This window comes from Homo sapiens, chromosome 5 (assembly GCF_000001405.40).
Source record: "Homo sapiens chromosome 5, GRCh38.p14 Primary Assembly".
Taxonomy (NCBI): Eukaryota; Metazoa; Chordata; class Mammalia; order Primates; family Hominidae; genus Homo; species Homo sapiens.
Genome location: NC_000005.10, coordinates 10,360,508 through 10,383,294, shown reverse-complemented (window position 1 = coordinate 10,383,294; position 22,787 = coordinate 10,360,508). Strand labels below are relative to the sequence as shown.

General features: G+C 40.7%; 1 protein-coding gene across 11 annotated transcripts in view; it reads right to left on the bottom strand.

Annotated features, from left to right (window-relative positions):
• Nucleotides 1–22,787, bottom strand: part of MARCHF6 (membrane associated ring-CH-type finger 6) — an 86,694-nt gene that overhangs the window by 57,094 nt on the left and 6,813 nt on the right. For 8 of the 11 annotated variants that reach the window (XR_925577.3, NM_005885.4, XM_047416612.1 and 5 more), the window contains exons 2-4: nt 5,401–5,497; nt 4,463–4,536; nt 1,352–1,495 (exon numbers count right to left, since the gene is read on the bottom strand). The exons of 1 other annotated variant lie outside the window; for it this stretch is intronic. Coding sequence is in view for 9 of the 10 variants with exons in the window: in NM_005885.4 (NP_005876.2) it covers nt 1,352–1,495; nt 4,463–4,536; nt 5,401–5,497 (315 nt within the window). In the remaining variant the exon portion in view is untranslated. The remainder of the gene's footprint in view (nt 1–1,351; nt 1,496–4,462; nt 4,537–5,400; nt 5,498–22,787) is intronic. 2 more of the 11 variants (NM_001270660.2, XM_047416613.1) reach the window with 1 other exon arrangement.

Sequence of the window (22,787 nt, the reverse complement as noted above, 5' to 3'; positions counted from 1 at the left end):
AGACAGACTAGACTAGCCTCCATTTGTCAATATTTATTTCTCATACTTGTAACTATTTGTCCCTCTGAGTTTCATCCTGGGAGAATTCCTTGATACATTTTCTAGCTAACTCACTCTTCAACAGTACCTATATTCTGCTAGTTGGTATCTTCCAAGAATTTCATTTCCATAGGTAATCAAGATTATTTTATCATATTTTAAGGAGACATGAAGATATCAATTATACTAATTAAACATTTAGTTTAACTCTAATGAATCTTATCTATATACTCTGCCTCCCATATACTATGTACTTCTCTCCATGTCTATAAGAACAACAAAGAATCCAAGAGGATTCTTTGGATTGATTAGGGGGGTTGATTAGTATACCACCCTCCCAAAGAGCCTCCTATATCTGAAAGATAAGCCTCCCAATTATTTATGACCATTACATGTATGAGTATTTTTAAATTTTATTTGTATTTTATTGAGGCAAAGTCTCACTCCGTTGCCCAGGCTGGAATGCAGTGGCATGATCTCAGCTCACTGAAACCTCTGCCTCCCAGGTTCAAGTGATTCTCCTGTCTCAGCCTCCTGAGTAGCTGAGATTACAGGCACACACCACCACACCCGGCTAATTTTTGTATTTTCAGTAGAGCTAGGGTTTCACCTTGTTGGTCAGCTGGACTCAAACTCCTGACCTCAAGTGATGCTCCCACCTCGGCCTCCCAAAGTGCTGGGATTACAGGCGTGAGTCACCACGCCTGGCCATGTGAGTATTTTTTTAAAGGAGGGTTGCAGAATCCCAAAAGAATTCATCTTTTGCAGTCCTTTTTTTTTTTTTTTTGCGAGACAAAGTCTTGCTCTGTTGCCCAAGCTGGAGTGCAGTGGTGCGATCTCAGTTCACTGCAACCTCCGCCTCCTGGGTTTAAGCAATTCTCCTGCCTCAGTCTCCATGTTGGCCAGGCTAGTCTCAAACTCCTGACCTCGTGATCCGCCTGCCTCGGCCTCCTGAAGTGCTGGGATTACAGGCATAAGCCACCGCGCCCGGCCGTCTTTTGTAGCCCTTGAAAGCTCTAGCATACTTCATATCTAATTATGATTTGATTTGATTTTTTCAACGCTTTCATGAACTTTCATGGTTAGCCATTCTGTATGCTGTGTTCTTTCCCACATTCACTCAAAAAACTGACCTGTTAAACTCATTCTTAGTTCCGATGAACATCTTCTAAGTAAGGCTTTCCTAATACATGACACTCTGACATCAAATAACTAAACATCAGTCAAATAATAATATGATGCAATATTGCTTTATAATATTAAGTAGTTATGCAATGTTTAAATAACTCCAATCAGAGGCATGAATACTCACATGCTGTAAGAGGAACAACTCCCAACCATGCAAAGGCCACAAGTGTATAATGAAACCAATATCGTATTGCAGTGCCAATACTTGTAACCAGTCCAGCAAATATGTCTTGAATTGGAAGCCGTGAAGGCATATCTGGAGAATAAACTATAAGCGGAAAAAAAGTACTTACAGTTTCATGAAGATTCGAAAATAGCTTAATTCATAAATATAAAATAGACATTAACTAAACTTCCAATATTTGCCTTGTGCTTAATTTTTTTCCTATTTAAAAAAAATAAACCAAATAGTTATAATATCACATTTACCCAAGAAGTCATTTATGAGGCAAATCACATGTGAAACGTGGAAATCAACAAAGGCCTCTGGGCAGGAAAAAAAAATTCAATAGATGTTCACATCCCTTGCTAATAGCCATGAACCTCATACAAGGCCCATTTACACACATTTTAACATTCAACCAATATAATCATCTGGTTTCCCAAACTATAAAAGATGTAATAAAGCAAACAGGAGCAAAAGATGAAGCTGACAACAAGCCATCAACACTCCCCCAAATATAAGCATTAAATAGCACTCAAAAAGCACAACAGTCCGCAGCAGATCATTTCATGTGGGAGCAAACATCCCACTGACATTTGTTAGCCACTTTCCCGATGTTAGCATAATACTTAAAATTTCAAATGATAAATTCAGATCTTCCCACTACTCTGAGAAATGTGGCTCAACACATTCAGAAAAAGAAAAGTTCTGCCACATTTAAAAAGGATTCCCTTTTAAAATGGTTCCAATAAAAAACCACTGCCTATTATCAAAAACCTCTACCACAGGTAGCTCGGAAAGAACATAAAGGAAAAACAAACAATTCTTTCTCCAGTAAGGCCAAAACAAGAAATTATGATATATCAGGGTTTAAAAGCAATGATCTAAAATTTATAAGAACACTATCACAAAACTGTTCACACCTATAAACATTGAGAAATAAACAACTGACAAATAGCACCTTTTTTTTTTTTTTTTGAGTCAGAGTCTCACTCTGTTGCCCAGGCTGGAGTGCGGTGGCATAATCTCAGCTCACTGCAAACTCCGCCTCCCAGGTTCAAGTGATTCTCCTGCCTCAGGCTCCCAAGTAGCTGGGATTACAGGCGTCTGCCACCACACCTGGCTGATTTTTGTATTTTCAGTAGAGACAGGGTTTCCACCATGTTGGCCAGGCTAGCCTCAAACTCCTGACCTCAGGTGGTCCGCCTGCCTCAGCCTTTCAAAGTGCTGGAATTACAGGGGTGAGCCACAGCACCTGGCCACAAATAGCAACTTTTAATGGCACATGCCCACAGATCATTGACTTCGATAGGATATCTGGTATACAAGAGCAAGTCATTAAAACCAGGAATAATAGAGATTTTTTGCAAAAGATAAAAGAAATAGAGAATGTAACTATCAAATGAAAATTAAAATGTACAAAACAAGCTTCTATTGGCCTCAAAGTAAAAGCCCACATATTTCCTATCAACTGAATTTCATGAAGATACTCAACTAGTTAGTCTTAGTTTCCTATGAATCTTGACAAGCTGTACAGCTTTTACGTACTACAGAAAATTAATGACTACAAAATAACAGAATTGACTTTTTTATGATGAATATACAGCTCCAAAAGTGAAAATGTAATAACTTTAATCATTTATACTCATCAAATAAAAACAAAGTAAAACACTAAGTTACAGCATTTATATCGAGAAGCTCAAGATGCTTAAACACACACACACACACACACACACACACACACACACAACTAAAACACAAAAATCCTTTGTAAGGGAAGGCAATATAGGGGATCCCAGAATGAAAAATTATGCTTCAAATATTTAATAACTTGCCAGCACAGTCCTCTACTTATTTGAGATAAAACATATTAAATATTAATAGGCACAGGAATCATAGTTAAAACCTTAAAGGCTGCAAAAATATTTTATAAAGGCTTATGAAATATTGACCTTAAAAGTTAGCCTCATGAAAAAAACGGTAATTTAAAACTTTGTTTGGCCAAGCAATGTGGCTCAAGCCTGTAATCCCAACACTTTGGGAAGCTGTGACAGGAGAATTGCTTGAGGCCAGGAGTTCAAGAACAACCTGGGCAATATAGTGAGACCCTCTCTCTATTTTTTATTATTTTTTTAAAAAAAGCTTGCTGGGCGCGGTGGCTCACGCCTGTAATCCTAGCACTTTGGGAGGCTGAGGCAGGCAGATCATGAGGTCAGGAGATCGAGACCATCCTGGCTAACATGGTGAAACCCCGTCTCTACTAAAAATACAAAAAAATTAGCCAGGTGTGGTGGTGGGCACCTGTAGTCCCAGCTACTCGGGAGGCTGAGGCAGGAGAATGGCGTGAACCCGGGAGGCGGAGCTTGCAGTGAGCTGAAATCACGCCATTGCCCTCCAGCCTGGGCAACAGAACAGAGCGAGATTCTGTCTCAAAAAAAAAAAAAGCTTTATCTTTATGACTATTATTCTAACCTATACAACTTTAACTCAAAATGTAGTCCAAATTTGAAGAGTACTGAATATTTGATGAAATCAAGGCATCATTGTTTATTTTTCTAGGTGGATAATGGTATTATAGTTACGTTTTTGAAAAAGAACCCTTACCTTTTAGAGATACATACTGAAGTATGTACAGATGAAATTACAAATGGTAGAATTATTTTTTAAATAATAGAGAAAAAAATAAAAGGATAAAGAGGCAGGGAACAAGAGTGTATGTAAAACAAGACAGGCTATGAGTTGACACTAAGTGATGGGTTCATGTGGACTTGTTAGATTTTTGCATGTGTTCGAACCTGTCTACAATTAAAAGTAAATAAATTTTAAAGACAAAAAAAAACACCCCACAAATCTCAAACATGTGTGTGATAAAAGACAGCATACAGTTTTTCAAAATATTTTCCTAAATATCAATACTTCCTATTACTATCAAAAAAAATCAAGCTGAAAATAATTGCTTTAAAGTGCTTAAGCACTTTTATCCCCCTTCCTCTGTCAACTGATCATATCAAACACCTTTATGCCACGAGTGATAACCAAAAAAAATGCAGTGAAAATGTCTAAAGAACTTACTTGGTGTAAAAGCAAATCTGTGCTTGCATAATTCACAGTATTCTTTTCGACTGTGTTTCAGCCATTGAACTAAGCTGTAATTATAAATAGATTCATAAGTACAGTGTTTACAGCAAAGAAACATTACAGTTTTGTCGAAAACATTGTTTTTATTAAAAATGTATATATCACAGAGCTTTTAGTTTCAAAATTTTCAAATTTAGAATATTCTTAACTTTTTGTAACTGCCTTCTAAGAATGAAAAACTACAACAGCTAGAGATAAAAACAACACATTTTTCTACCATTAAAAAAGGTTCAATTAATCAAAACTGTAATTTCCTCAAAGCAAAATGAACATGAAAGAATCTCTAAGCATCAACATCAGTTTTAATCCTGGTCTGATAATACTGGTACCTGGTAGCTAGGTCTGAATCCTGGTTCTGCCACTAACTGGCTGGCTATGTGGCCAAGGACAAGTTATCTAGCCTTCCCATGCTTCAATTTCCTCATCTGCATAATAATAATACTCCACCTCATCACAATTTTCTTATAAGGATTAAAAATGAGTTGAGATGTACAAACCACTAAGAACAGTTCTTGGCAAAAAGTACTTCATAAATGTAAGCTACTATTATGCCAAGCAAAACTAGAAAATCATAACACTTTCAGAGGACAAAATAAGCTCTCCATGGTAGAAATAAACAATGGGTAATTACGTGTACCTGGAAGAGGATACACCAAAATAACAGCCATGGTATTAAGAATTAATGGATAATTTCTTTTCCAAATTTTTTAATTTTTACAATAAAAGGGCTTTTTCAGTTTCCTGTGCTCAGGAAAATACAATAAAACTTTTAAAAATAATTACAGAGAAAGTACATTGAAATGATCCCTGTTACTGTATACATGACGAAACTGAAGCTCAGACTTACATAACTTTCTAAAAGTATGACTTACCATTCTTGATGGATAAACTTAATACTGCCAGTACATACACAAGGATGATAAAGCGGTTTCTCAGGTGTTCCTTCTGACCGACACACTCTACATATGTCTGCCAATGAAAAAGGAAAATTGAATTTCCTTTGGTTATAACTTTTTTAAAAAAGCAAGAAACAAGCATAAACCAAAATATTGGACATTAAAGCAAGAATCTATCACTTGACAAAACATTAATAGTACGGAGAACTGAAAGTTGTGATTAAGTTGCTATTCAAGTGTTTATCTAAAACTAAAAAATTCCTAAATAATGTATTAAAAGTTAAGTTGTTCCTTCGTATGACAGATTTTAAATAAATCAAAGTCGAAAATAAGAGAAACAGATGGTTTTATTCAAAACTGCGCTCTCCACAACAAATAATAAAAATATGTAAAATCAGGTCACCATTAGCGTCCTAACAGTTTTAAACTCCAGTCTTAACAATTTAACGGTTTAAAGTCCTAACAGCCTAAACTCCACAAAACACATGTGAGGACTCACCACAATAACAGCAGTTAGAAGACAAGCTTTTCATGTCACCCCACCCCACAAGAGTGCAAGGTAGGCAGACCCAGAAACACACACACATACACACACTTTAAGGGCTGGTGGGGGGAGGGGATACCCCAAAGCCACAAAAGCACCAGGCCACAGAGAGATGAGCCGGAAGCCACCTTAAGCAGAAGGGACAGCGCTAAGGGGTCCTTGGACCGCAGCCCACCCCTCATGCCCAGCACTACAAGACTCTAGGGGCATATTTGTCTGTCTTCTGCCTGGAGTGGCCCCAAAGCAGCACGACGGCAGAGGAACCGCGACGGATCCTTCGCACTCTCGCTCTAAAGCTCCTACCCGGGTCCACTTAGGGAACCCTGGTTATAACTTTTATTTTAGACCGTTCTCAGCTATCTGTCAGGGCCAAGAGCCAATCCCTAGTGGCCTATCGGAGGGAGAATGGGCAGAAACTTAATGCACACTTTCAGCCTAATCTCTCACGGGAAATTCTTCCTTAACGACGACTTACTACAATCCCGATCCCCATCACTAATGCACTTAACGGGTCTCTGACATCCATCGGATTCAAGTGAGCACATGCCGAGAGCAGTGTGGTGCGTGGTTACAGGCATTTAAGAGCATCACAGGCCTGTGGCTACTCTTCTGTGAGTGGGGTGCATGCCTTTTCTAGGCTGGTGGAGAGATCTATCTGTGTGCTAACCAGCTGGGCAATCCAGAGCCTAACTGCTCAATCTCAGATGGCTGAATGCCATTTGTCTAAATTGGGAGATGCCGAATGCTCACCTAACTGGTTAGCACGCTAATCTCCCTGGTTATTGATTAACTACCAGTCAAATTGTGTCCGGAATTAGTGGGTTCTTGGTCTCACTGACTTCAAGAATGAAGCCGCGGACCCTCGCGGTGAGTGTTACAGCTCTTAAGGTGTCGCGTCTGGAGTTTGTTCCTTCTGATGTTCGGACGTGTTCGGAGTTTCTTCCTTCTGGTGGGTTCGTGGTCTCGCTGGCTCAGGAGTGAAGCTGCAGACCCTCGCGGTGAGTGTTACAGCTCTTAAGGCAGCGCGTCTGGAGTTGTTCGTTCCTTCTGGTGGGCTCGTGGTCTCGCTGGCTTCAGGAGAGAAACTGCAGATCTTCACGGTGAGTGTTACAGCTCATAAAAGCAGTGTGGACCCAAAGAGTGAGCAGTAGCAAGATTTATTGCAAAAAGTGAAAGAACAAAGCTTCCACAGTGTGGAAGGGGACCCGAGCAGCTTGCCACTGCTGGCTCCGGCAGCCTGCTTTTATTCTCTTATCTGGCCCCACCCACATCCTGCTGATTGGTAGAGCCGAGTGGCCTGTTTTGACAGGGTGCTGATTGGTACATTTACAATCCCTGAGCTAGATACAAAGGTTCTCCACGTCCCCATCAGATTAGTTAGATACAGAGTATTGACACAAAAGTTCTCCAAGGCCCCACCAGAGCAGCTAGATAGAGTGTAGATTGGTGCACTCACAAACCTTGAGCTAAACACAGGGTGCTGATTGGTGTGTTTACAAACCTTGAGCTAGATACAGAGTGCCGATTGGTGTATTTACAATCCCTGAGCTAGACATAAAGGTTCTCCAAGGCTCCACCAGAGCAGCTAGATACAGAGTGTCAACTGGTGCACTCACAAACCTTGAGCTAAACACACAGGGTGCTGATTGGTGTGTTTGCAGTCCCTGAGCTAGACATAAAGACTCTCCACGTCCCCACCAGACTCAGGAGCCCAGCTGGCTTCACCTAGTGGATCCCGCACCCGGGCTGCAGGTGGAGCTGCCTGCCAGTCCCGCGCCATGCGCTGGCACTCCTCAGCCCTTGGGTGGTCGATGGGACTGGGCGCCGTGGAGCAGAGGGTGGTGCTCGTCGGGGAGGCTCGGGCCGCACAGGAGCCCATGGAGTGGGTGGGAGGCTCAGGCATGGCGGGCTGCAGGTCCCGAGCCCTGCCCAGCGGGAAGGCAGCTAAGGCCCGGCAAGAAATCGAGCACAGCGCCGGTGGGCCGGCACTGCTGGGGGACCCAGTACACCCTCTGCAGCCGCTGGCCCGGGTGCCAAGTCTCTCACTGCCTGGGCCGGCAGGGCCGGCCGGCTGCTCCGAGTGCAGGCCCACCAAGCCCATGCCCACCCGGAACTCCAGCTGGCCCGCAAGCGCTGCACGCAGCCCCAGTTCCCGCTCGCGCCTCTCCCTCCACACCTCCCTGCAAGCTGAGGGAGCCAGTTCTGGCCTTGGCCAGGCCAGAAAGGGGCTCCCACAGTGCAGTGGTGGGCTGAAGGGCTCCTCAAGTGCCGCCAAAGTGGGAGCCCAGGCAGAGGAGGCGCCGAGAGCAAGCGAGGGCTGTGAGGACTGCCAGCATGCTGTCACCTCTCAAAATCTCTTCATCAAGTAGAAAAGCCATGCACCCCCACCCACAGAATAACTATCAATGGGACAATCCTGTCTGTGCTGGAAGCAGGTAAGGTTGCTCATGTTCAGTCAAATTAAGCTGTCTCTATTGCTGTTGCCTTTCAGTTTCAGCTATGAACACAGACCTTCCCCCTACCACGACCCAAAGGGCTCTGGTTTCCTGGAAGCTGCTAGTGGGTCATGGGCATTAATGCAGTGGTCAACATCACATTTATGTTCGTAACTACACAGGACCTGAACATCTTTAAACTTCCCACTTTCACCTTCATTCTTGGTTAATGAAAACATCCTTGGCAAAAACTTTCACTCTGATCAGTCTTATTACTGGCCCAGAATTTGAGTCCTAGCGGTGCAATACTAATGCCCCAACTGCCCTGCTTAATAAGCTTCCTCAAAGTTCCAACACAAACAAAATAGAACCACGCTCCCATTCCATGATTCCCACCAGCAGTATCCAGGCAGCCCACGCTACTTTGAACACTAATTTTCTTCAAGTGCACACTTCAGCTCCAGGGAAACTCAGGGAAGAAGAGCCCGTAAGGTACCAAAAAGACAAGAGGCATGGACTTTCTTGCAATGGACCCCGGCAGCACGTTAAGATCCAAAAACAAGCATTTTAACTGCCAGGAATTCAGCACACCACATTGAAAGTGGGATTACCGTGGCTGCCAGCACCAGGCTTGCCCTGCAATAGATCCTCTTTAAAGGATTTAAACTGGACTCTTTCCAACTACAGGGCCTTGAAAGAGTTCTATATTGTTTTAATCATTATCCTCCAGGGTTGGGAGTGGGTAATTTGTGCGCCTGCTGCATTCTTTAGATAGGGTATTAATTTATCAGGCTCTCTCTCTGCAGAATCAAATTGAGATTCCCTATTATTAAGATTCTTGGTCACAGTGGTCGCCTCAGTAGGCACTACAACTGCCACCTAAGAGTGACAGGGCCATGGTGGGGGTGGGGAGAAAATGTGATTGATCTAGGTTACCTAGAATCACCAGAGTCACTGAAGCCACAGGTGCGGATCAGTCCTACAATAACCAGTTATCTATATAGGAGCTGAACCCTCATCCAGCCATTCACAACAATACTGTGGATTAACTTTTGAAACTGGCATGTGCTACTACTGTAGGATCTACCAGGGAGGGTGGGTGCAAGTGTGGATGTACAGATCTCAGGCATAGGGTTTGGGCTCCCTAGCCCACATTCAGATGGCTGTGCAAGTAGGAAGTAGGGTATAGCAGCCACAGCATGACAAAGGGTGTCCCACCCGTGGGACGCTGCCCTCCAGGAACATCGTGACGGGTCGGCCATTGACTATGGCCTGGGGTATGGCAAAGACAGTCCTGCTGGCACATTGCTGCCTGTGAGAGGCAAGGACAACAGGTGGAGTGACATCCACGTGGGTACAGCAATTGGTCACTTGGTGGGCTCATTCCATGATACAAAACACTGCCACCTAGACAACCTAGCCCTGCGTGGCCTGAGAAAGCTGTGGTCAGGACCAAAGCAGTGGCAAACTCCAGGGCACACTCACCACAGGAAGCACTGCTGACTCCAAGTGGATGGCCAGCTAGCGAATGGTGGAACAGGACAGGTGGAGTGGGGAGAGAGACATGGATCTCCACTTAGAAGGATGTAGACACACACATGAATTAGGGCACTGATTTTTCAGAAGACCCCTGTCCTTCTGAATGACAAACCAACAAACAAGATACTAAGCAAACCCAACAACTCTGAAATCAAGCCCCAGGGCTCTGCTTGGCCTAGAGAAGAGAACTGGGATCCCAAGTTTCTCACTCAGAGAATGCAAAGACACAACTACTATCCTAGTAACACTTAAGTTTTTTGTTGCTGTTGTTGTTGTTTTGTTTTTTTTTTTAAGAGACAGGGTCTTGCTGTGTCACCCAGGCTGGAGTGCAGTGACACCACCATAGCTCACTGTAACCTCTAACTCCTGGCCTCAGGCAATCCTCCCATCTCAGCTCCCAAAGCACTAGGATTACAGGCATGAGCCACCATGCCCAGCCCCTAAGACTTCTTTTTCACTTATTGTCTTGCCAGTTTGCAGTGGTATTTTCTAGAGGCTACATGAGATAATAGAATGAATGCAGCTAGAGATGAAAAGACCCAGCTGCTTCTCATTAAAATAGGTATTAAAGAGATTGGCAAATATAAAACAAATCCACTTTCCTCATCAATTTTGGGAGTTTGGAATAGTTATTTTCACGAAAAACAGTATTTATATTAACACATAATGAGTGTTGTTATTTTAAAGCAAATTAATAAATACTTCCAAAATTGTTCTTCAAGGAGTTCGTCAAGAGGAAGAACAAGTGCATTAATCCATTTGTTACTTTAAGTGGTTTGGTTTATATGAAAACAATGACAGGTTAGGTCTCAAGTGGGGAAAAAAAATAATCCTAAAGGGAATTCTAACATATTATTATTTCCAAGCAGTATTAATAACTCTTTAAAATCTCCCTAGCATCTATTTTCACAGAGTCAATTGTATAATGAAGTATAAAAAATTCTAATGAATGGATTAATGATCACTATTGCTACATGCTTTTAAATCAAAACATATTTTATAAAACTACTGAAATGACCACATTTCATAAAGCATTATATCCACTAACAATAGTACACAGACATGATAAAAAAATAAAGATCTTTAAGATGCTATGGGTTTTCTCCCCCCTCAATTGGGTCTTAGGAGAAAAACAAATATAAGGAAAATGAAAATTAATTTTCTGCTCCATTATGGAGCAGAAAACATCAAAATCCAAAATGATGTTTTCATATTCTCAAAATCAATTTTAAGTAATTAATTGGCATTTGATCTTCCATGTCTCTATGTCTCTCTTTTTTTTTTTTGGCCTACTCACATTGGCAGCAATAAATATTACTATTTTGAAATATCTATGAGGAGTGGGCATTACAGGAGCACACCACCACATTCAGCTAACTTTTTTAGGAGATAGAGTCTCACTATGTTGCCCGGGCTAGTCTCAAACTCCTGGCCTTAAGCAATCATCCTGTCTCAGACTCCTGAATAGCTGGGATTATAGATGCCAGCCAGCAGCAACTTGCATGTCTTTTAATTTCTATTTGGTATAATGTACTAGAAACTTTAATGAAGGCATTTTAAAAGACCAGCCACTGCCTCAAAGAAAAAAAAGTATAAAAAAGCACAACATTCAATTGTTACTTTGACATCAGCTAAGAACTACCCTTTATTTCATTACCTACTGATATGGTTTGGCTGTGTCCCCACCCAAATCTCATCTTGAATTCCCACGTGTTGTGGGAGGGACCCAGGTAATTGAATCATGGGGGCAAGTCTTTGCAATGCTGTTCTCGTGATAGTGAATAAGTCTCATGAGATCTGATGGTTTGAAAAACAGGAGTTCCCCCACACAAGCTCACTTGCTCTCTCTTTTTGCCTGCTGCCATCCCTGTGACTTGCTCCTCCTTGCCCTCCACCATGATTGTGAGGCTTCCCCAGCCACATGGAACTGTAAGTCCATTATAAATCTCTTTCTTTTGTAAATTGCCCAGTCTCAGGTATGTCTTTATCAGCAGCATGAAAACAGACTAATACACCTACCATCTCTACACACAGTTCTAAGCACTCCGAATGTATTCTGTCACTTACTCCTCACAATACCAATCTCATAGTTTGGGAAACTGAGGTTGAAAGGGGTAGGGTAATATAACACATCTAAGGCCACACAAGACTAAGGAGAAGGCAGTATACAAGAGATCTAGGGTATCACTGAACTGTCACACTTTCAGAAAACTGGCTGGAAATCTAAGAATAGCTAATTCTATTTCAGTTACTGAGAACCAAGTAATTATCAACCAAGGGCCAAATGAGGATTAAAAACTAGCTCCCAATTCCAAGAGTACTCTCCTTTTGACCTTATCATGCTTCTTCCCCACAACTACCTTCATCAAGCAACCAGGTTATCGTGAATGTTTTATTTTTTTCATAATGTCAATATTCTATTTATCTGCTCCTCCAACTTTATCATATTCTCCCACTTGCACAGTAGACTGCTCCATCGAGTAAAACATACATTACTGAAATATAAAGATAAAAAATAACCAGGTAGTACAGCAGCTAATTAAAAAGTGGTTTTATTACTGCCAACCTGAACATTTCCACAGTTTACCAAGTTCTCTTTCTTTGTGAACTATCTGTTCAAGTTCTTTGTCCAGTTTACTAATCAAGGTCTCAACAGTAAGAAAACTAAAAAAAAAATCAGCTTTGTGCTGGGTTAGTTAAAAAAAAGAAAGAAAATGGTTTGAAAAAAAATCAGCAAAAGATCTGAACACACTCACCGAAAGAGGAATAAAAAATTTTAAATGTTCAAGTCATTCAAGAAATGCAAATTTAAATCACAAGAAGATGGTGATGGTTGCACAACAAGGTGTATTTAATGCCACTGAAGTATATACTTAAAAATAGTTAAAATAAGTAAATTTTATTACATATACTTTACCACAATCAAATTTTTTAATAAAAATCACAGTAACGCCAGATATGGCAGCTCACACTTGTAATCCCAGCACTTTGGGAGGCTCAGGCAAGAGGATCACATGAGCCCAGGAGTTCAAGACCAGCCTGGGGAACATAGGGAGACCCCCATATCTACAATAAAATTTTAAAATTAGCAGGGTATGATGGCGTCTGCTTGTAGTCCCAGCTACTCAGGAGGCTAAGGCAGAAAGATTGCTTGAGCCCAGGAGCTTGAGGCTATAGCGAGCTATGACGGCGCCACTGCACTCCAGCCTGGGTTTATAAGCAAGATCCTGTCTCAAAAAAAAAAAAAAAAAAAAAAAAAATCACAGTAAGATACTCCCATACCTATTGAAAGGGCAAAAAAATGAAAATAAAAACACCCTTACCAGACAATCCAGAAATCCTACTAATATATATTTAACCTGATAAAACAAAAACTTATGTTCACACAAAAACCTATGTGAGTATGTATAACGGTTTCATCCTTAATTCCCCAAAACTAGAAACAATCAACTCAAGAATTCCACAACTGGGTAATAGATAAACTTTGGTACATCCCTACAATAAAATACTAAGCAATAAAAAGAAATGAACTAGTGATACATGCAACGATGATGTGGATAACCCTCAAACATTGTATTAAGTTAAAGAAACCAGACTCAAAAGACTACATACTGTATGGTTCTATTTATGACATTCTGGAAAAAGCAGAATGATAGGGACAGAAACAGATCAGTAGTTGCCAGGGGCTGGAAATGGGGGACAAAGTTGACCATAAAAGGGTAAAGGATATTTGCAAGGGGGGGGGGGGGTAATGGAACTATTCTATACCTTGACTGTGCTGGCTATATGACTGCATGTATTTGTCAAAATAGATATTAAATAAGGTAAATTTTACTGTATTTAAATTATACTTTAATTTGAAAAATGAAATCGACAGGCCTTCTACAGTACTGTCTACACAGACATGTGGGAAGAAAGAACAAATAAGAAAGAAGGATGACATGAAAAACATACTTGTTCCCTCTCTAAAATGTCATCTAATGAAATTGTAGATTGAAGTGTACACCCAATGAGCACACGTTTTTCATCCAACCAGGTAGAAACTGATGTTGTTAGGGACTGGAAATCATCAGCATTGGTCATCAAATATTTCTCACTTTCCACTTTCTGGGCATACACTGAAACTGCACTTCCCTGCCACCTCTGAAATTAGGCATGGACATGTAACTTACTTTGGTCAATGAAATATGAGGTACAATGACAAGTATCCCTTCTTGGTAGAAGTGTCTGAAAGCCAATGAACACAATTCATCACACTGCATTTTCCCTGCCTCAATGGGCGTGGAAGCATGCAGTAAGGGATGGAGCTTCCATCAAGCTGGGCTCCCCAGTGACTACAGTTAGCAAAAGCACTTCCCCCTCCACCCACATTGGAAATTTTTTTTTTTTTTTTAAAGAAACAGAGCCTTACTTTGTCATCCAGGCCATCAAGGCTGGAGTGCAATGGCACAACCATAGTTCACTGCAGCCTCAAACTCCTGGCTGGGCACGGTGGCTCACGCCTGTAATCCCAACACTTTGGGAGGCCATGGTGGGCAGACTGCTTGAGATCAGGAGTTTGAGACCAGCCTGGCCAACATGGTGAAACACCATCTCTACTAAAAATTACCGAGAACGTGGTGGCGCACACCTGTAGTACCAGCTACTTGCGAGGCAGAGGCAGGAAAATCGCTTGAACCTGGGAGGTGGAGGTTGCAGCAAACCGAGATGACGCCACTGCACTCAAGCCTGGGCAACCAACGGAGCAAGACTCTATCTCAAAAAGAAACAAACAAACAAAAAACACTCCTGGGCTTAAGTGATCCTCCTGCCTCAGCCTCCCAGCTGGGACTACATGTGCACACCACCAGGCCCAGCTAAATTTTTCTTTATTTTTTGTAGAGGCAGGGTCTCTCTATCACCACGTTGCCCAGTCTGGTCTCAAACTCCTGGGCTCAAGCAATCCTCTGGTGTTGGCCTCCCAAACTGCCAGTATTATAGGTGTGAGCCAATGTGCCTGGCCAAGAAGTGATTAACCTTTTGATGCTTTAAGCTCCTGAGGTTTAGGGTAGTTTGTGACTACGACATAACTTAGCTGATCCTATTTTATACAGAATCTTAGCAGCTTTGCAAAAACATGAAGCAAGTACGACTATTACAAACATACAAAGTCAAAAAAAGAATAGCCTGTTTTGTATACTAGTTCCAATCCCACCACCCAAAACCTCAACAGAGTAACAAGGCCAAGGCTACAAAAAGAGTGAAGTCTACAAAGGGCTCAGCTTAAAGTCCTTTACTAAAAATTAAACCACCGAAGTAGGTTCTGTGGCAGATTGAGGCTCCCCCCCATCAGATTCGTATGCAGTAAAATTATGAATCTTGCTCAGGCCAAAGTAAAATCAATGCATCTTGCTTGTTATGAACGCAAACCTACTTAGAAACAATATGGCAAAGCTCTTCCTGGTTTTCAAAGGGAAATTTCTATTTAATCCTGTAGCAATTTTTGTTGCTGTATTTGAATACCTAATGTCTTTACACATGGATACCTTTTAAAGATTCCACCAAAGAGCTTGGCTCAATAAACAATAGTGGTTTTTTTAATTAAAAAAAAGCTTCAAGTCCTTAGTAATTTTTCAAATTCTTGTGGAGATTGCCCAGGAGATGGGAAAGAAAGAAAGAAAACCACCACCACTGTGGAAGTCAGCCCATTTCATCAAAGTTTTTCTAGCCAACAGTACAGTTCAATAATTTATCCTAAGTGCCTAGTATGAGGAAAAAAATAAAACTCTAAGTTTTGGGGTACATGTTATAACTCTTAAGCTATTATCTATCTTGAAAGTTCTTTGATGTAAGACTTCAAAATCTCTCCACTTACCTTCTGGTGTTAAATCAGTGATAATTTAATATACAAAGAATTATTTTTTATTACTAACAGACTTTAGATTTTAGAAGTCTTAGACTTACAGAAAATATGAAGAGAGTACAGAGTTCCCATATACCCAGCACACAATATCCCCTACTATTAACATCTTATTAGGATTTGTTACACTTTTGTTACACTTAACCAATATTGATACATTGTCATTAACTCAAATCCATGGTTTATTCTGATTTCCTTAGTCTTTACCTAACGTCCCTTTTCTGTTCTAGGATCTACATATATTTAGTTGTCATGTCTCCTTGGGCTCCTCTGGGCTCGGGCAGTCTCTCAGATTTTCCTTGTTTCTGACGACCTTGACAATTTTAAGGAGTACTGGTCAGGTACACTGTAGAATGTCTGTTTACTGGAAATTGCATGATTCATGAATAGACTGGGGCTATGGGTTTTGGGAAGGAAAAAAATCACATGAAGTGGCATCTTATATCATATCATATCATATCAAGGGATATGCCATCAACATGATTTGTAACTGTTGGAGGCCGAAAGACTGAGGGTCGTGATCAACTCAGTATACCACTGGAGGCTATAAGAGTGAACAGCAAACTGTTCTCATAAACGCAGAATGTTGGCAAACTGACAAACTGCCTATGCCACCCAGAAGGAATGCTGAAGGCAGTCACGCCCCAAGCTCAGTTTCTTGTGATTAGGTACATCTGAAGCCTGTTCGTAATAATATGAACGTGTGATCAATTAAGCAGCTGACCAGTCATTATCACCTCCCCCCTGCTCTTTCTACCCAATAAATTCTAAGGGCTGTGGAAGCTAGGCTGCTGCCTTTGCTCCCTAGAAGCAGGGAGCCCTCTTTTTCTTCCCCTTTTTTCTTCCTTTAAAAGTTTCTTTTGTCTTAATTTTTCATTTCTACATTTGTCCCCCTTCACTCAGTCTCATAATGACGGTCTCAAGTAGTAACAGCAGTAACTGTCATAGTGACAGTCTCAAGTAATAACCGTGGCACTATGCCACATGTAACTGTTAATGTTGACCTTGTTCATCTGGCTGAAGTAAACAAGGAATGTTTAATATGTAATTATCAATAAAATTTTTACAATTAGTAGCTACAATTATAGTAGACAATTTTGAAAATATATTAAAAATATTACTCAAAATGTCTGCAGATAACCTATATAGCCCAAAATAGGGAAGCGGCTATATAAATGGTGCACATTCACTATATGGAATGTATACAGTCCCTTAAAAATAGCAAATACAAGGCTGGGCGCAGTGGCTCATGCCTGTAATCCCAGCACTTTGGCAAGATGGATCACTTGAGTCCAGAAGTTCGAAACCAGCCTGGCCAACATGGCGAAACCCATCTCTACTAAAAATACAAAAACTAGCCAGGTATGGCAGCACACGCCTATAATCCCAGCTACTCAGGAGGCTGAGGTACAAGAATCATTTCAACCCAGGAGGCGGAGGTTGCAGTGAACCGAAATTGCGTGACTGCATTCCAGCCTGGGCAACAGACCAAAAAACAAAAAAAAAGTATATATATGTATATATAACTATTTGCTAATATGGAAAGAGATATAACATTTTTAAATGACCACACTCCCTTACTTCCAACTAGGTAAAAACACCATAGCCTAAAGAAGAAAATGCAAAAAAAAGACAGCCACTGTAATTGGTCAGACGAGAACATGGGTAATTTTTCTTCCTTTCTCGTCCCCAAGTAGATAGTGTTTAATTGCTACTTTTACAATTACAGGCAGAAAAAAATGTTTAACTGCTCAAATTTTACAAAAAATATTTCCTTTTTGAGGGTGAGCGTATACCCATACACAAACTATGTGGGTTTGGGAATTAGGCCTTGCAAACACAGTTTAAAAATTCCAATTCTCGGCCAGGTGCAGTGGCTCACGCCTGTAATCCCAGGAGGCTGAGGTGGGCGGATCACCTGAGGTCGGCAGTTCATGACCAACCTGACCAACATGGAGAAACCCCACCTCTACTAAAAATACAAAATTAGCCAGGTGTGGTGGCATATGCCTGTAATCCCAGCTACTCGGGAGGCTGAGGCAGGAGAATCGCTTGAACCCGGGAGGCGGAGGTTGCGGTGAGCCAAGATCGTGCCATTGTACTCCAGCCTGGGCAACAAGAGCGAAACTCTGTCTCAAAAATAATAATAATAATAATAATTCCAATTCTCTATGTACCCCAAAGTTTACTTATTTTAGCTCACCAGATTACTATCGTTACTAAATTAAAAATTCACCTGTACTGTTGCTCCTGGAAGCCTGAAAACTGCACTTTCTGGCCTCCTTGCCAACTAGGCTTAAGTTAGAGTCTGTCAATGAGAAGCACTTCTGTGAGATCAGAAGAAGCAGGGAGGCTGGGTGCAGTGGCTCACACCTGTAATCTCAGCACTTTGGGAGGCTGAGGTGGGTAGATCAACTGAGGTCAGGAGTTCAAGACCAGCTTGGCCAACATGGTGAAACCCCGTCTCTACTAAAAATACAAAATTAGCCGGGCGTGGTGGCATGTGCTTGTAATCCCAGCTACTCAGGAGGCTGAGGCAGGAGAATCGCTTGAACCTGGGTGGCAGAGGTTGCAGTCAGCCAAGATCGCACCATTGCACTCCAGCCTGGGCGACAAGAGCGAAACTCCATCTCAAAAATAAAAATAAAGAAGAAGCAGAGAAACAGCGAAACCATTTTCTACTTGTTTCTAAAAACCAGCAGTTGCAGCTAATGGCAGGTACTGCAGACTCCTGCTAACAGATACGCAAGTCATGGTGGAGATTCTGCCCAACAGCTGTGGGCAACATCAAGCTTCAGCAGCACAGGCAATGAATGATTCCAACAATTTCAGCAGTAATGAGCTAGTTATCCATGTATCCCCTTCTCAACTCCAAATTCTCCCTTTCAGTCCCTGTTCAGTGATAGGGATGCTAAGCTTTTCTTTTCTTTTCTTTTGGCTAGGGGCAGTTAAACTTTGCCAGTAGAGGGTGCTGGAGGGATATCTAAGAAGAAAGGGGTGTTTTCTAGCTCCTGCCACACTATCAGTAGTTTTGTTTTAATGAACACCTTCATACAGCCCTGCTGATGAGGACCCAACACACTCCAGGACTTGCACAGGTACACACAGTGATATCCCAACTCCCTCTGCATAACTGCCCATCAACCTTGGCTCACCTGTACCCGGAAGGTTGCTTTCTGCTCCCCAGAAGAAGTGGTGTACCACTTTACACTCCCACCAGCAGTATATGAAAATTCCAACTGCTCTACCTCCTTACAAACACTTGGTACGGTCAGTCATTCTATTACCATTTTAGCCACACTAATAGGTATGTAATGATATCTCACAGTAGTTTTAATTAACAATTTTATTCAGATATATGTCATAAAGTTCACCAATTTAAAGACTTCAATTGTTTTAAGTATATTTACAGTTACGCAACCATCACCATAATCTTTTAGAACATTATCATCATCCCAAAAGGAAACCCTGTAACTATTAGTGGATACTTCCTACTCCATCTGCTCTCCCCAGTTCCAGACAACCACTAATTTCTCTATATATAGATTTGCCTATTCTGGACATTTCACACAAATAGGATCATAGAAAATATGTTCTTTTGTGACTGGCTTATTTCACTTATCCTAATGTTTATGAGATTTATCCAAGTTGTACCATGCATCAGTACTTAATTCCTTTGAACTGCTGGGTAATATTCTATTTTACAAATAGATCACATTTATCTACTCATCAGTTGATGGACACTGGGTTGTTTCTATTTGGCTATTATAAATAATACTGCTAACTCATATACAGGTTTTTGTGTGAATATATTTTTTGAATTCTCTTGGGTATATGAAATTTCTGGGTCATATGGTTACTCAGCTTATCTTTTTGAGGAATTACCAAAATCAGTCACACTATCTTACATTCCTAGCGTAACAAATGAAGGTTCCAATTTTTCTACAATGCTCACCAACACTTACCTGTTCTTTCTGATTATAGCCATCCTAGCAGGTGTGAAGTGGTGTCTCATTATGGTTTTGACTAATGATGCTTAGCATATTTGCATATGCTTAATAGCCATGTACATGTATTTTTTAGTGAAGTGTCTATACAAATCTTTGGACCATTTTAAAAACTGAGTTATTGTTTTCTTATTACTGAGTTCTGAGAATTTTTTATATACTCCAAGCCCCTTATAAGATACATCTTCTGTATCCTGTCTTCATTCTGTTAAGTGTCTTTCTAATTTTGAAAGAAATTCTGAATTTTGATGCCATCTGATTTATCCACTTCTTTTATGGATCATGCTTTTGGAGTCATACCTAAGAGATCTTGGTCTAACCCAAGATTCCGAAGAATTTCTCCTATATTTTCCCCTAGAAGTTTCATAGTTTTAGGTTTTTCATTGAGGTCTAACAGCCCTTTGAGTTAATTTTGGTATATGGTACAAGCTATAGCTCAAAGTTCTTTTTTTTTTCCTACAGCTATTCAACTATTCCAGTGCCATTTGTTGAAAAACGATATCCTTTATATTTTATGCAATTGCTTTTGCACTTCTGTCCAAAAATCAACTGTCCATGTATGTGTGGATCTATTTCTGGACTCTATCCTACACTACCAGACAAATGGATTTTAATTTAACAGTTAATTTAATTTTTTAAGGTGACTGCCATGTTTTCAGATACGTTAAGAAACTACCACTTGTCAAGTTTTGACATAGTATCAAAGAACATACAAACATCTGAAAATATTCATCCCTTTTCAAGCTATAAATCTGTGTGATGCCGAGTTTTTATATACACTAACCAAAACACTTAACAAAGTGACTGCAAAGGGAGAGATGAGAATCCAATTGTCTTATAATAATCCAGATAACGTTATTTTTATTAACATATATTGAGTTTATTGTTACTTTTAAATATTCTAAATAATTTGTATTCATTCTTCATTTCTAATATGGTAAATATCTATCTTTACATATAAAACCCACATAAACAAAAGTCCTTTGGGTCCTCAATTTTAAGAATGTAAAGGGGTCTTGGGACAAAGCTTTGAAAACCACTACTCTAGCTACATCAATGCTCTTCAAACTGTTCCATTCAATAGAAATGCCTCTTGGCACTTTTCAAGGACTTGGAATGAAGAAATGAAACATGCAGAAAACATTGTTGCACAGGTCCTAGATACGTAGTAGACATGTACCCAATATTTGGTAAATGGGGAAGTAATCAAAAAAGACATGGAATCTCCAATATTCTATTTCAAAAGTGTTATAACAGAACTGCACCCTAAACAGGGTAAATTTGTGTGTAAATTATACTTTATTAACCTGATTCCATCTTTACAGAATACATTAAGAGGTGACAGAAGGGAAGGAGAGAGACAGGAAAGTAAAAAGTGTATTACAGCCAGGCACAGTGGCTCACACCTGTAATCCCAGCACTTTGGGAGGCCGAGGTGGGCGGATCACCTGAGGTCAGGAGTTCAAGACCAGCCTGACCAACATGGAGAAACCCCATCTCTACTAAAAATACAAAATTAGCCAGGTGTGGTGGTGCATGCCTGTAATCCCAGCTACTCGGGAGGCTGAGGCAGGAGAATCCCTTGAATCCAGGAGGCGGAGGTTGCCATGAGCCGAGATCGCGCCATTGCACTGCAGCCTAGGCAACAAGAGCTAAACTCCGTCTCAAAAAAAAAAAGATATTATAATGAAGTTAAGTTATAAAAAATAAGTGTACAGGGAATGCTTCAGTCTTCCAAGCCTTCAAGAATTCATGTCTATCATGGGCTGAATTGCACTGCCCCTCCCCCCGTAATTCACGTGTTGAAGCCCTAACCTGCATGTATACACAATGTAACTATATTTGGAGACAGGATCTTTAAAGAGGTAATTAAGTTAAAATGAGGTCCTTAGAGTAGGCCCTAATCCAATATGACTAGCGTCTTTAAAAAAAGAAGAGATTAGGACATAGAGGGACAACTACATGAAGACATACAGAGAGAAGACTACATGAAGACACAGAAGACAATCATCTACAAGCCAAGGAGAGAGACCTCAGAAGAAACCAGGCCTACCAACACCTTCATCTCAAACTTCTAGCCTCCAGAGTTGAGAAAACAAATTTCTCTTAAGCACCCAATCTGTAGTACTTTGTTACAGCAGCCCCTGCAAACTAAAACAATATCTAAAACTGAACTACTTATCTCTTTCCATTCCCATTTGAAATAATATAAAAATCAATCATTTTTAACTCCTCCTCCTTATATTACCTCTTCAATTACTATGTTCTATTAATTCTACCTTGGTCTATTTCTTCTTTTCCATTCTTTCCATTCCCTCTACCTTAATGTAACTCCTATATCTCATCTAGCCTACTGCAACAGCATTCTAAAATATAGTCTGAATTATTAAGTTTTCCCTTGGGGGGTTCTTACTTCCTATTCACTTTTCAAGAACTCTTTCTGTTCTAACTGTATTATACTAAAAATAAGTGATCTTCATAGTCTTACAGGACAGAAGTAAAACCCACTAAAGTAAGCCTGGCCTGGAAGAAATGGGAAGTAGGCATCTGGAAGAGGATAGCCCAGCAATAATCACTCACAGGGCTTCAGTCTAAAAAGTATTCTAATTGAGCAATATAGCAGATCTCTTTTGCACTGTCTTACCAGCTCAAGAATGGACACAGCCAGTCATGATTCTTATTCTTCCATTACCTTTCCCACCACCACCCAGCTACCTGGATCAAAAGGATAAGCAACTGACCCAAGATGAGCCAGTGAGATTGTAGCTTCCAGAAATTTGAATTTAAGACAAACAAAAACTTGTCTTAACCAGGAAAGAGATAGACTCAGTAACCCTGGGGGATTGGTTTCAGGAAGTCCACAGGTGCCAAAATCCACAGATGCTCAAGTCCCTTATGTAAAACAGCATAGTATTTCCAAGTAACCTATGCACATCCTT